Source organism: Homo sapiens, chromosome 4, assembly GCF_000001405.40.
Source record: "Homo sapiens chromosome 4, GRCh38.p14 Primary Assembly".
In the NCBI taxonomy this organism is placed as follows: domain Eukaryota; kingdom Metazoa; phylum Chordata; class Mammalia; order Primates; family Hominidae; genus Homo; species Homo sapiens.
Window position 1 is genome coordinate 77818496 of NC_000004.12, and position 14291 is coordinate 77832786.

Here is a 14291-nt window from a genome sequence, read left to right on the forward strand (position 1 = left end):
AAAATATTTACTCAGTCCCTCCACACAGCCTTAGGGGAAGGATGAAAAGAAGGGAACACGACACCGCGTATTCCCAAGACTGACTGTTCTGATTCACTTTCCTCCCTCGGGTCCCACAGCCGGCCGGGCGAAGGCTTGCAGTTGGAACGCCAAAATAAGCCTTCGCCTCTCAGGAGACGCGGAGGCGGCCACGGCGACGGCAATCGGCGAGTCCCGCCTCCGACCCTCACCTGCCCAGGCCCGAGGCAGCGCCGTGGGCTCGCGCGGGCTCGCCGTCCCGGGAGGCGTCCGGGGAGGTGGGCGGGCGCCCAGGCAGTTAGGCCGCGCTGCAGGCCGGCGCGCTTCCTGCCGCGGCCGGGGAACGGCGGCCCCGGGATCAGCGGCGCGGCACCGACCAGCAGCTCTCCCAGCCCCGCTGCCGCGCGTGTGCCGCACTCACTCAGCCCTCCCCGGCCGGCCCCCTAGGAGCAGCTCTCACCTGCGAGGCTCGGGAGCCGCAGCCACAAAGCGGGAGGGACACGCCACTCTGGGGTCCCGGCCCCGGGCCACCCCCGACACACACACACACACACACACACACCCCGGAACCTTCGCCCGCCTCTGAAGAGACGCGGGTCAGCCCCGCCGCCCCCTCCAGTCACCCGACACACACCCACTCGCCGTGGGTCCTCGGGCCGCCTCCCCGCCCGCCAAAGTCCCAACTCGCACACCCACACGCACATTTGTCCCTCTCCCACCTCATTTCCCCGGGGACGCGCTCCTCTTCCCAACACTCTCGGTCCTACTCGGAGGCAAAAGAACACTCTACCTCATTCTCTTCCTCTGGCCCAGAAGCAACAGCAGCCATTTCCCCGCGGCAGGGGAAACACACACACAAACACGCGCGCGCGCGCGCACCAGGCCCCCACAGATGCTTCCCCTCCAGAGCCGCGGCCGCAGACGCAGACGCAAACACAAACACCCACGGCGGGCCTCGCTCCCGCCCGCCCCGAGGGGAAGCCGCGGCGGCACACAGGGCCCGTAACCGGGGCTCGCGGGCGGGCGCGCAGGGAACCCGGGCCCGGGGTCTCGGGGGGCCCGCGCCCCCTCCTCACCTGCATTCAGCGCGCCGGGGTCCGGGCGGCGGCGGCGGCGGCGGCGACGGGGCGGCTGGTGCTGGTGCTGCGGCGGCGGGGGAGGCGGCGGCGGCGGTGGCGGCGGGGCTGAGGGCAGCAAAGACATGCAGGCAGCCCGCCGGAGGGGAGAGGCACCGGCCGGAGGGGATGCGGGGCGGGCGGGCCGGGCCGGGCCGCCTGACGAACGGCAGAGGCGGCGGCGCGGAAGGCGGCTGAAGGGAGCGAGGAGACAGACCGGGGGTCGGGAAGGGGGACGAGGGCCGCGCCGCCGGGCTTCGAGGACAGTGACCCCAGGCGCGCAAGAGAGGCCCCGCGGCCGCGGCCGCCGGCGCGAAGGCCCCAGCCGAAGGAAGCTGCGCCCCCGCAGGGCCGGAGCCGCGGCTACTGCTCCGAGAGCCACGCAGAGCCTGGCCTTGGCCTTGGCCTCCTGGTGCTGGGGCTGCCGCCGCTGCGGGGGTTGCCGCTGCGCCGGGTGCTGCTGGGGCCGAGGTTGAACAGAGACGCCAGCTTTCGGTGCCTTCGCTCCCGCTCACACACGTTCACACCCCCGAGGGCCGGGGGAGAGGCGTCCGGGCGATATCGGTATTGAGATTAATAACAAGGTGCAGAGAGTGCGAGAACGAGGAGGGTTGATTGACGTGGAGGGGCTGGCGGGAGTCAGTCACTCCCCGGCGCGGAGGGTTGGGGTGAGGGGAAGGAGGCGGGGCGGTGACGGGGCGGAGCTCCTACGCAGCGCCTTGGCCCCGCCCCCCGTGCGCCGCGTTTTGTCGCGGTGAGCGCGCGGAGGCCCGGGCTTCTTAATGGTTTTCTGTTTTGCTCTGGCTGTTTTCTCACTCTTTTTTCCTGGCCTGAGCGAGGAGCGGGGCTGAGAAGAGTGGTAGAGTTTCAGAAACCCACATCCACAGAGCCTTGGCGAAGAGACGGGAAACCGCCTCACCCCGGGTTCTTGTGTGGGCGCTGTTTACTGCACCCTCCTCGCCCGAGGCGACCTGACAGCGAAGCAGAGCGTAGGTCTAGGTGGCTGAGACGCCAGGGGAGGTGAAGTGACCGAAGGAAATGTTTCCTGACATATTCGGTGGATTTTTTTTAAAAACATATAGCATCTGTAAGTTGTATCGTCAAAGGTAAATAAAAGAACCTGTGACGCTCAGCGATAACCCGGTCCTATTTTCTAATTCTCCCTTCTCGTTGTAGACTTTAGTTTGTTGTTTGTAGCTTATCCATGCCATCTACAGAATGAAAACATCCAAATGCAAACTAGAAATAGTAGTGTTTACTTGGTGAACCTGGCTGTGATACTTTAAGTTTCTGGGGTTTGTTTTTGTTTTTGTGGGCCAGCTTCAGCTTTTTTGGGCCAGCAGTCCAAAAAGCAAATTACACCGGCTGTGGAGGCAGAGTACTGCTGTTGCAGTTTTGCACAATTTTAATCTCTTTCTCAATGCATGCCCGGGCTCGTGTATTTACCAGTGTTGGTCAAGGGTATATTAGCAATGTTCAGTATTTTTTCCCCCACAGGAGTGTTTAGCACACTAAGCACGTTGCGTTGGTTGCAATTCATCTTAGGCCTTATTACTGAATGTAAAATGCCTTCATCTCTTGGGGGAAAAGGTGCGGTGAAAATGCAAATCATCATTTAGCTAAAACTGAACAGCTGTTACAAGAGTCCATAATTGCAGAACTATTGCACCACTTTCATCTTGGCACCAGGATGGGTGAATGAGTGAGTAAAAAAGCCCCTCAGTTCACAAGACGACAGACTATTTTCTTTTCTACCTATGTTAATTTTCCATTTCCCTCCCTAGCAACACCAGCCCCACACCATCTTCTGTGAAACATGTCAAAATGGCCTTAAGCCTGGAAGAAGTCTCACTCTTTCCCAACTATCTAAGAGTCTAGGCTGACATAAAATGAATAATTATCTTTGGCTTTGTAAGCAGCAAAGCCAAGCAAGTCACTTCAGGAGTCCAAATAGTGGACCTGCCTCAATGGCATCTTGCCACAGTATTTCTCCGTAGCACACAAACACTCTCCCAGGGAGAAATACCACCAATTATAGAAGGAAAGAGGAAAATAAATACCTGAAAAAATGTAAATCAGATAATGTGATAGCCTCACAGATTTAAGCATCTTTAAATAACAATAAATTTATATGAATTTTCTGTGAGTATTCAATGAATTTTCATTCATATACAATAAACACATATGGAGGGCATATTATGTTCCAGATGCTATGTTTAGCATTGGAGACACACAGCCAAGCATATATAGTCCCTTTTCTTAAGTAACTCACTATCATTGTAGGGGAAGCTGACACATAAACAGGAAATTCTCACAGAACAAACCAGAAATGAAAGTATGAGAGGTGACACAAAATTAATAGTCACAACAATGTCTAGGAGGATGGGCTGACAGCACTGGCATTTACACGTGAGCCATTTGACATCTGCCCACTCTCACAGGCTGCCTAGCAGTAGTGACAGGTGGGGAAAAATGACAGGGCCATTGTGGATGTTAAAGAAGCACTAATAAATGGTGGACTTTGGTGGTCCTGAAGGTCAACTTTATATATGGGATGTTCTTTGTTGGCCTCTAAATTTTAAGTAGTAAATGCATCACAATCCATGGTGGGGAGGGGTAATTGTAACTTTCAGAGTTAATAGTGGACAGTGGATGTTGTCATAGGATCATTTATTTTAATGCAGGTTAAGTTTAGAATTTACTCTCAAAGATGTCCTCTTTATACCATATCAAATTGATTGACTCACTAAAAACAAAAGGAAAGCAATACTTTTATATGTTAACTATATTATCCAAAAAATAGATTGCTGTTTTTCTCATTTGCAATTAGAATGACATTGGAGAAATAATAGTTTTCAGATAGTTGGCACTATACAAATGCCAAGAAATTGTCTTCAGTGAGATTAAAAAACAAACAGGCCAGGCGCAGTGGCTCAGGCCTGTAATCCCAGCACTTTGAGAGGCCCAGGCGGGTGGTGGATCACCTGAGGTCGGGAGTTTGAGACCAGCCTGACCAACATGGTGAAACCCCATCTCTGCTAAAAATACAAAATCAGTTGGGTGTGGTGGCACACGCCTGTAATCCTAGCTACTCAGGAGCCTGAGGCAGGAGAATCACTTGAACCTGGGAGGCAGAGTTTGCAGTGAGCCGAGATCTAGCCATTGCACTCCAGCCTGGGCAACAAGAGGGAAACTCTGTCTCAAAAAAAAAAAATAGTTCCTCATAAGATTCCGCTTCAAAAGACACCCCAGAAACGACAACAAATGAGTAGCACTTTAGCCATTGTTAAGAAGCAGTTTACGGGAGGCTGAGGCAGGAGAATTGCATGAACCCGGGAGGCAGAGCTTGCAGTGTGCCAAGATTGTGCCACTGCACTCCAGCCTGGGTGACAGAGTGAGACTCTGTCTCAAAAAAAAAAAAAAAAAAAAAAGAAATTTTATAGTGGATCAAAGTTTGCTACAGAGAGTAACCTGCTTTCGATATCTCATTTCTGAGGATTTTTCACGTTTGTCAGTTATTGCAGTTTTTAAGATTAGAAATAATGCAATAGGAAAATAGGTGGGTGTGGTGTCTCACTCCTGTAATCCAACATTTTGGGAGGCCGAGGCAGGCTAATCACTTGAGGTCAGGGGTTCGAGACCAGCCTGAAAACTCATCTCTACTAAAAATACAAAAATTAGCCCGGTGTGGTGGCAGGCACCTGTAATCCCAGGTACTCAGGAGGCTGCGGCAGGAGCATTGCTTGAATCCTGGAGGAGGAGGTTGCAGTGAGCCGAGGTGGTGCCACTGCACTCCAGCCTGGGTGACAGAGTGAGACTCCATCTCAAAAAAAAAAAAAAAATCTCTTTAAAGAAATGATTTATCCAATTGAAGCTTCTGGCTTAAGTGTGGCCTTTTTGACCAAATTGGTTTAGTAGCAGCAGTATATAGGTACAATTTGTTCTGAAACAACAATTATGTTTATTTGTATTATTAGAGAATTGGTTTATTCCTACTCAATGAAAGAAAAAGGTGCTTCATGTTCTAGAGACCACCTGTGTCTTTTCCAAATTCGCAATTAATGTTTGAGCTGAATAAATATTCCTATCTCTCCGTGTTTTGTTGGTAACACAGGTAGCGGGTCCTATAAGGTCCCTTATAACTGTTCTTTTGTCTCTTTTCTGAAATTCTGTTGAGCAGCTTATTCAAAAGACAAAGATTTCAATTTTTTTATTTAAGAAATTAGTACTATTTGGCCAGGTGTGGTGGGGCTCATGCCTGTAATCCCAGCACTTTGGGAGGCTGAGGCAGGCGGATCACTTGAGGTCTGGAGTTTGAGACCAGCCTGGCCAACATGGTGAAACCTCATCTCTACTAAAATATAAAAATTAGTCTGGCGTGGTGGTGTGTGCCTATAGTCTCAGCCACTCGGGAGGCTGAGGCAGGAGAATCACTTGAACCTGGGAGGCAGAGGTTGCAGTGAGCCGAGATCACGCCACTGCACTCCAGCCTGGGCAACAGAGTGAGACTCCATCTCAAAAAAAAGAAAAAGAAAATTAGTACTATTTGATAATCTATTAAATTTGATTTTTGGGGGGGGTGGGGGACAGAGTTTTGCTCTTGTTGCCCAGACTAAAGTGCAATGGCACTATCTCAGCGCACCTCAACCTCTGCCTCCCAAGTTCAAGCAATTCTCCTGCCACAGCCTCCCAAGTAGCTGGCATTAGAGGCATGCACCACCACACCTGGCTAATTTTGTATTTTTAGTAGAGATGAGGTTTCTTCATATTGGTCAGGCTGGTCTCAAAACCTCAAGTGATCTGCCTGTCTTGGCCTCCCAAAGTGCTGGGATTATAGGTGTGAGCCACTGCGCCTGGCAAATTTGATTTTATTTAATACATACTTTCATACTAATAGCCACATAACAATAAAAATGTCACATTTAAGTGTATTCAGTAAGGTATAATTAGTAACAAATATATTTTACATCATATTTATTAATAAAAAATAACTTTAAAGCAAGTATTAATCAAGATAATCATGAATTTTTACTTCCTGGACCTCCTGACAGGGCCTTCAAACTATATTTCAGTGACATAGTCTTACTTTTACTGAACTACAATCTTCCCCATCTTCCTATCTTGTACATATTTATTCCCCTTTCTCCCTCCCTCCCTCCCTCCTCTGTCTCTCCCATCTCCCACTTATTCTTATATTTCTTACCATCTACTGTGGGCATACTCGTCCAAGACACGTGGCTTTTCTCATTGCCTCTGCCCCTTTCTGGGGTCTTCAACTCTCTTTCCATCAATCTCCTACTTGTTCCTTTCTCTGGAGTGGCTGTGGATGGATGACACCAAGGATCATTCCCACTATCTTAGCCAAAGATGAACATTTTTCACCATTATTAATAGTGTGCCATGTGATCCATCAGTTCTCCATAAAATGATAAAGTAAGCCGAGTTCATCTTTGAACTTTGAAGGCAGATGTCCTACCTCCCCTTTCTACACTTCCCAGCTCAAGTCCCTTGATCCTGAATACATTAGAATCTCCACCTCAACCCCACCAGTTAACACCACACTCCTATATTCCCAAAATTGTTTTACTAGGCGAGCACCACCACCACCAATAAATATCCAGTGCTTCATTTTGTCTACGCCTTGGAGGTGACTGGCATGCTTTCCAATTAATAAAATCTATTACAATCAGCCCTCTATAGCTGTGGTTTCCACATTCCATGGATTCCATACCCTTGGTTTCAACCAACCTAGGATCAAAAATACTCAGAAAAACAAGTGGATGGTTATGTCTCTACTGAACATGTATAGATACTTATTTCTTGTCATTACCCCATAAACAAAGTATAACAACTATTCACATAACATTTACATTATATTAGGTGTTACAAGTAATCTAGAGACGATTTAAAGTATGTGGAAGGATATGCTTAGGTTATATGCAAATATATGCCATTTTATATAAGGGACTTATGGATCCATGGATTTTGGTATGAGGGGGTCCAGAAACTATCCACCAAGGATACTGAGGGATAACTATTTTAAAGCTGTACTCCAAGCATCTTCTTGAGGTTTTCAAAGGTATGTTTCAGAAGCTACATAGAGTACACAAAAGGAACCAGGTAGATGGGTCCTGAACAAGAAAGCCTGTGTTTTATCTCTTAATATATTGACCATCTATTTGTCTGCCCAGTAACCTTTTTCTTTGAACAATGCTCTCTGTCTTTGGGGAAACTATTTCTACCTGCACCATGATCGGTAATTCTAGTGCAGCTACAGCTCAAAGAATCCCCCAACTTCTTGGCTACAATGGTGGACATAGGACTCAAGTCAAAGCAAGCAGAGTTCTTCCCCAGGATGTTTTCAGGTGGAACTAAGGGGAGAAGGGCTATTCCACCATAGCAGTAGAGCCCAGAAGGAAGTCAGAACGGTCAATGGCCTTGTGTAGAATGAAGCCACCACTCAAATGAGAAATGTAAAGAACAATTCCTGCCGGTGCACCAGTCTCAGGTTCTGGTGATCCCTGAGGTCCCAGCTGCACCTTTTCACATAATATAGCTAAATTAACTGGTAAATTCTCTTCTACATCCAAACTAACTTGAGTTAGACCTCTGCAACCAAAACATCTGAATACATTGTGTTTCTGCATGAGAGTTCTTTCAAAGAAAGAACTCTTGAACTTTCAATAAGTTCTTTCAAAGAAAGAACTCTCGAACGTTCAATAAGTTCTTTCAAACTTATTGCTGCCCAATAAGTTTGAAAATCACTGAACTAAACTAAGTCGTTATGATTGGTGGAATCGTAGTCTACCAAACGTTGAAGATCACTTGGTCCTACTTCTGCATTTTCCACATGAGGAATCTGAGGCAAAATGACTTGCTGAATGAACATCACCCAGGCAGTCAGTGTTAGAAACTGGTCTCTGGATACCTAGTTCATTTGTTCTCTTTATTAAGCTTCTCTGTTTAATTCCTCCCAAAGGTATTTTTATGAGGTAATTATTTAGAAATAAACCTTAACCTAAAAGAATAAATCAAAACAACGGCAATTTCAGACACTGACTACATAGTGGGAAGATACTTGGTGGCATGGAGGCCATAATGGATCCCTTTTCCTCTTTGAGCCCCTCAAACTTTGAGCCCCTTTTTCATATTGGACCCAAACAAACTTTAAATCTTAGATGATCACATCTACAGGTCTTAACTACCATCTTTATGCTTACAACTCCCAAATATACATCTTCAATCCAGAGTTCTCATCACACATTTAGATCTATACTGTCAATTTCCTCCTGGATATCTCCACCTAGACAGGCTATACACATTGCAAGATATATATGTCTAAAACTGAGCTCATTGTCTTTTCCCCAAAATTGATTCTTGGTCTTGCATGACCCTCTGTTATTAAAAATGGTACTATCACGCTAAAAATCATGTAATCATATGAATAGTCACCTAATGCAGAATCCTAGGAGTAATCCTTAACTTTTCTCTCCCAGCCTCACCAAGATCTACCAATTCTGCCTACTAAATATTTTCATTAATCTAGCCCCTTCATCCTAATGCACTCCAGAGTTATAAGTCAGCCTGTCAGCTCTTGCCTGAGCTTTTTGCATTTTGTCTATTGTTTTAGTATCCTAAGTATAATCCTAACATCCTCCTAAAACATACCCTGTTCATATTAATTACTCTGCTCTTTAAATGACTTTACATAATTTATAAAATAAAGCCTAACTTCACAAGCATATATGTTCCTTAATGATTTGCCCTTCTCTTACCACCACCACCTGCAGCCATTTAACCACCAGCTTTTCTCTCTCTCACCCTTGCCTTTAATGAACCACCTGTCACTTCTTAAACAGGATGTGCTCTTTTAGATATCTTTGCACATGCAAAGTATAGTATCTTTCCTCAGCATAGTATGCTGTTTCCCATTTTGTCCTTTTCTTAAAATCATCCTTCAAGATTCACCTCAAGCATCACTTCCTCTGTGAAGCTTTTTCTAAAAACCCTGCTATGTACTCCCTTAACAGGCTGTGCCCAACTCTCTTACAGTAAGTGTGGTTAAATTAACCAGCAAATTCTCTTTTAGATCTAATCTGAGTTAGATCTCTCCAAAACATCTGAACTAATAAGTTGTGTTTCTGTATTATTATTCTTTCAAAGAAGGCTAATGGCTGCTAAAATAAGTTTGGTAATCACTGAACTAAATGATAATAAAGCATTATTATTGGTTGAAGCATTTTTAAAAAGAGGTACCCCGTTTGTGGAGATGAATTAGGATATGTTTCCCTCTGGGTGCATGCAGTCTATCAAAGCACAGTCCCCACTAACCTTTTGCCTAGATGTCTCTATCCAGCATGCAAACTGAACAAGCATATGACATTATGCTATAATTACCTGTATGTGTACACATCTGTCTTTCACATCCTAGATTGCAAATTCTGTCTTTATCTCTAGTACATCATAGAATTTCTGATACAGAATTCACAAGGAACAATTGCTTAATTAATTAATGATAGCAATTCTCAAATCATATCATGTAGTCTTAACTTTACAAGCAATTAGCTGCTAGTAAAATAAATCAGAAATAACAGTAACAAAATAAATGTTATTTTTCTCTCACATAAAGGAAGTCTGGAAGTAGTCAATGCAGGGCTGATATGGCACATCCATGGTCAGCAAGGACCAGGCTGCTTTTCTCCTTGGGTTTGCTATCTTTAGAGCATGGCTTCCTTTCCTGCTTCATAGTCCAATATGGCTGTCCAGGCCACCCCATACAGTTGTGTAGTTTATTTACTGTGAAGACACCTGACCAAGAAGTGAGTGGGGGCTGTGTATTCTGAGGGATTCCTTCTACCCAGAGGAGGAAATTTTCTAACTCATCTGCAAAGATGGGGGATTCTTCCTATTCTGTTCAAAGGCACCAAAAACATTAACAGAGATGCCATGACTATCATGATTCCAGCTATCCCACTCATTTTCCTGGCAGAACAAAAATTAACCACACCCCTAAACACTTTCCTGGAAGACTCACCCAAAAAATACTTGCTTAGATTTCACTGACCAGAAGCAATGAAAGAACATGGGTCGCTGAAAGGGAAGCTGGAAAGCATAGTGTTTTGGTGAGATACACTGCCACCATAAATAAGCTACTGGATAGCCTCGGTCTAAGTGCAGCACGGATAACGATTCATCACTTCAATGTCTAATGGTTGATGAGTCCAAAGAAATAAAGCATTCTGCTGAGTTTCGTAACTAAGAGTTTTAACTCTAGCAAAGCAATCTTACAATTATGTTTATCTGAATTAAAGCAAGACACTTTGAACAAAACATTCATGGTCTGTTTTTAGAAACTGATGATAATTTCTCTCTCTCTTTCTCTCTGTTTCTCTATCTGAAAGTTTGTTTTTGATATTCCAAAGAACATCAGTATTTAAATTGAGTTATCAAGTAGAAGGATTCCCTTACATTTTATAATTTTTTTAAAAGTCTCCTCTTAACAGGAGTTCTTTTTCCTATCCAAGATAGCATTGAAAGTTTAGTATTGTGTTCATTATGCTTGTACCTGTGTTTCTAAGCACATGATATCTAACAAAGCCTCCCCACTGCCTTTCTTTCAAGGATGTTTATAATCTGGACTCAAACATTCACACTAGGTCTTATCCAAACTTGTTCACAATGCACGCCCTGAGTTTCCAACTCTGTATCTTTGTTCACATTGTTCATGGCTTCCACTTCTCAACTTTCCTTTTCCACACCATCAAGCACATCCTTCAAGCGCTTACTCCCATCCTTTTTCATGAAGCGCTCTGTCACCTAGGCTGGAGTGCAGTGGCACAATCTCGGCTCACTGCAACCTCCTCCTCCCAGGTTCTAGCGATTCTCCAGTCTCAGCCTCCCCAGTAGCTAGGATTACAGGTGCACACCATTGTGCCCAACTAATTTTTGTATTTTTAGTAGAGACGAGGTTTCACCGTGTTGGCCAGGCTGGTCTCACACTCCTGACCTCAAGTGATCCGCCCACCTTGGCCTCCCAAAGTGCTGGGATTATAGGCGTGAGCCACCGTGCCTGGCCTAAAATTAGTTTTCATACACCATCTTGTGCTGAAAACTGTGGCACAGAAATATACTGTATGGCAGGGAAAATAAACTAGATGTTAAAATTTTACAACAGATATTCCACCCACTAAATAATTTATATTTTGAAATTTGAGATTTATATAATATGGAATAACTCTTTAAATGTCAAGCATTAAACCTTGTTTTTGTTTTAAACTAATACCAACGGCTGATACACCTACACAAAACAAATTCGGTAAACTTCCACCAGCTGACCTTTAAAATAATCATTAGTAAAAAGAATTATGCTTTTCTGCAACAGGAATAATCTCGTTATTTGCATTATTTCCAGAATTATATTCTACTTTTTTATTTAGCTTTTCTATATTGGTGTTCCAATCCCAAAAATAGCTAGGAAAGAACAATATTTTTAACATCTCAAATCTTCTAACTTCTTCCTATTTATCTTCCATATATAATAGTATATTCTTTTTATAACTTGTGTTTTTTTTTTTTGTAAGCAACTTTTAGATTTAACTGTTTTAACTGAATGGGCCAACCAAACTTTATTTTTTTTTTTTACAGAATTTATGAAATAGAGCAAATCTTTTGATGTGAAGATAGAGCCTGTATTTCACCCTTTGGTTCTAAAATGACTCACGCTCATCATACATTTTAATTTGTGTTCTCTAGTTAACCTTTTCAGTTCCTTCTTTATGCCAAACAGAACTAACAAGGATTAGTTAAGATTCCAACATATGATGTGATTTAAGAGAAATCACTACATGAAACTGTTTTCACCATTGCATGTTATAATGCCTGAAAATTCAGCATGGAGATTGACTCCTTTGAAAATAAAAACTTCTAAAATACCATACATCATCTTAAATTAGTGTGTCACAACACCTACTATGCAGAACACAATTTCCCATGAGATTCTTAGGGTATGTGGAGAGGGGAGATTCTATGCTGAAATAAATGTAGGAAATGCTACACACTGCATTTTTTCTCTTAAAAACTCATGATACTCTTAAACAATTAAGAAATCTTACCTAAAGAAATATGATTAATAGTATTTTCTCAAATATATTGACCATAGAGCTCTACTTAATACCCATAAATGTCCTATCATACCAGTGTTCTTTGGAACATGCTTTGTGAAACGCTACCTAAACCTACAATCAGGAAAACTTGCTTTAGAATTATAGAAACATAAAGCTGGAAATCTTTTATAGTGATAATGTAGCTTAAGTCTCAAGCTTTTCAGATTTAAAAAATAGACCTATAAAAGTTAAATTATGTGGCTTAAGTAATAAAGCCAGGATGAGAACTTACCTTTCATTTCCCATCTTATTCCTGAGATCAAAATGCTACAGAATTATAGTGTACATAAGAGGCCTCTTCAGTTGGGTTACTGGCTCTGTTATTTCTCTAATTCTGTAAAATGTTTTGAGGGAAAAAACAGTGAGTTCTTGTGGGTTTTGTTTGTTTATGAAAATGGAGCCAGGCGCGGTGGCTCATGCCTGTAATCCCAGCACTTTGAGAGGCCGAGGTGGGTGGATCACTGGAGGTCAGGAGTTCAACACCAGCCTGGGCAACATGGCAAAACCCTGTCTCTACTAAAAATATAAAAATTAGCAGAGCATGGTGGCACATGCCTGTAATCCCAGCTACTCGGGAGGCTGAGGCAGGAGAATTGCTTGACCCCAGGAGGCGGAGGTTGCAGTGAGCCGAGATCACGCCACTGTACTCCAACCTGAGTGACAGAGTCTCTGTCTCAAAAAAAGAAAAAAAAAAAGTGGGGGTCAAATCATAAATAATACTGTTGATATATTTTCTTGTCATTACATATAATCCTAGAGCATAGTTCTCAATCCCATCAGACCCCACCCTCCCTTTTAATAGCAAATATTTTGTAATGCCTTCGTTATTACCCTCATCTGGAATCCATAGATAATATATTTTACGTACATAAACAATTTATTTTGAAAAGCAATATAATGCCTTATCTATAATATTTAGGATAATTAAAAGCAAAATATTAATAATGAAATAATATGAAATTATCAGGCTTGACTACATTAGAAGGCATAGTGAAGAAGTTAGATGTTTATATCTATATGTAGCTTTAATGTAAATTTTATGGCTACAAGAGCCAACTGATACACAGATGTGTTAATTTGTCAAAGGAGTGACATGATTCTTCTAAAATGGTGAACTATGCTTGGTAAATTCCAAGCAAAACAAAGCGCATACATTGTTTTCTCCATGTGCATAATAGCTACATTCCTAGAAAATCCATATTACGGTTATTTCAAACACTCTCAAAACTCTTTATATTGGCCAGGTGCAGTGGCTCACGCCTGTAATCCCAGCACTTTGGGAGGCCTAGGCGGGCGGATCACCTGAGGTCGGGAGTTGGAGACCATCCTGACCAACATGGAGAAACCCTGTCTCTACTAAAAATACAAAATTAGCCAGGCCTGGTGGTGCGTGTCTATAATCCCAGCTACTTGGGAGGCTGAGGCAGGAGAATCACTTGAACCCGGGAGGCAGAGGTTGCGGTGAGCTGAGATTGCGCCATTGCACTCCAGCCTGAGCAACAAGACTGGAACTCCGTCTAAAAAAAAAAAAAAACAAAAAAAACCTATTTTTATTATCAGTAAAATGGAGTTGGTTCTAGATCATCATCAACAGGTTTTTCCTTTTGTCTAGAGGGACATTTGAAAATCATGTAGAATGCATCCTTCTATATGTAGGACTTTCCTGAGAAGTCTAGGACGGCTAGCATCCCTACTCATTCCAAATGTCACTTCCTCACTCCCACCTCTGTGATTGGGATGTCCAAAAACCTCTCCTACCAACTCTCAAAATGCCCTTATCCATGAGTTAAGAACCGCTATTGTAGAATATATCTTAAAAATTGCCTAGCGTTCTGTTGAATATGACAGTAGTGAATTACCAACTATTCACTAAATTCAAGGGCACAACTCCTTAACTCACTGAATAATCTCAATAGGGACAATTTACTGAGAGTTCACAATGCCCCAGAAACTTTATTTACATTTTCCTGTTTAACCTTTATAACCACCATATAAA

The 14291-nt window shown here is 43.7% G+C and overlaps 1 protein-coding gene across 18 annotated transcripts in view, besides 6 other annotated features; it reads right to left on the reverse strand.

Annotated features, from left to right (window-relative positions):
* Nucleotides 1–1774, reverse strand: part of CNOT6L (CCR4-NOT transcription complex subunit 6 like) — a 106883-nt gene extending 105109 nt beyond the window's left edge. For 6 of the 18 annotated variants that reach the window (NM_144571.3, XM_011531809.2, NM_001387842.1 and 3 more), the window contains exon 1: nt 809–873. In NM_144571.3, the coding sequence (NP_653172.2) occupies nt 809–813 (5 nt within the window). In that variant the 5' untranslated portion in view covers nt 814–873. Of the gene's footprint in view, nt 1–478; nt 529–737; nt 874–1094 lie in introns of those variants that run through there. The other 12 variants (NM_001286790.2, NM_001387841.1, XM_011531808.3 and 9 more) reach the window with 4 other exon arrangements.
* Nucleotides 170–569: a silencer, noted in NCBI's record as "silent region_15506". NCBI's record gives its function as "represses an Ori minimal core promoter by ATAC-STARR-seq in GM12878 lymphoblastoid cells {active_cell/tissue: GM12878}" and the evidence as "EXISTENCE:reporter gene assay evidence [ECO:0000049][PMID:35858748]".
* Nucleotides 650–719: a silencer, noted in NCBI's record as "silent region_15507". NCBI's record gives its function as "represses an Ori minimal core promoter by ATAC-STARR-seq in GM12878 lymphoblastoid cells {active_cell/tissue: GM12878}" and the evidence as "EXISTENCE:reporter gene assay evidence [ECO:0000049][PMID:35858748]".
* Nucleotides 1210–1309: a silencer, noted in NCBI's record as "silent region_15508". NCBI's record gives its function as "represses an Ori minimal core promoter by ATAC-STARR-seq in GM12878 lymphoblastoid cells {active_cell/tissue: GM12878}" and the evidence as "EXISTENCE:reporter gene assay evidence [ECO:0000049][PMID:35858748]".
* Nucleotides 1350–1509: a silencer, noted in NCBI's record as "silent region_15509". NCBI's record gives its function as "represses an Ori minimal core promoter by ATAC-STARR-seq in GM12878 lymphoblastoid cells {active_cell/tissue: GM12878}" and the evidence as "EXISTENCE:reporter gene assay evidence [ECO:0000049][PMID:35858748]".
* Nucleotides 1770–1919: a silencer, noted in NCBI's record as "silent region_15510". NCBI's record gives its function as "represses an Ori minimal core promoter by ATAC-STARR-seq in GM12878 lymphoblastoid cells {active_cell/tissue: GM12878}" and the evidence as "EXISTENCE:reporter gene assay evidence [ECO:0000049][PMID:35858748]".
* Nucleotides 3363–3412: an enhancer, noted in NCBI's record as "active region_21640". NCBI's record gives its function as "activates an Ori minimal core promoter by ATAC-STARR-seq in GM12878 lymphoblastoid cells {active_cell/tissue: GM12878}" and the evidence as "EXISTENCE:reporter gene assay evidence [ECO:0000049][PMID:35858748]".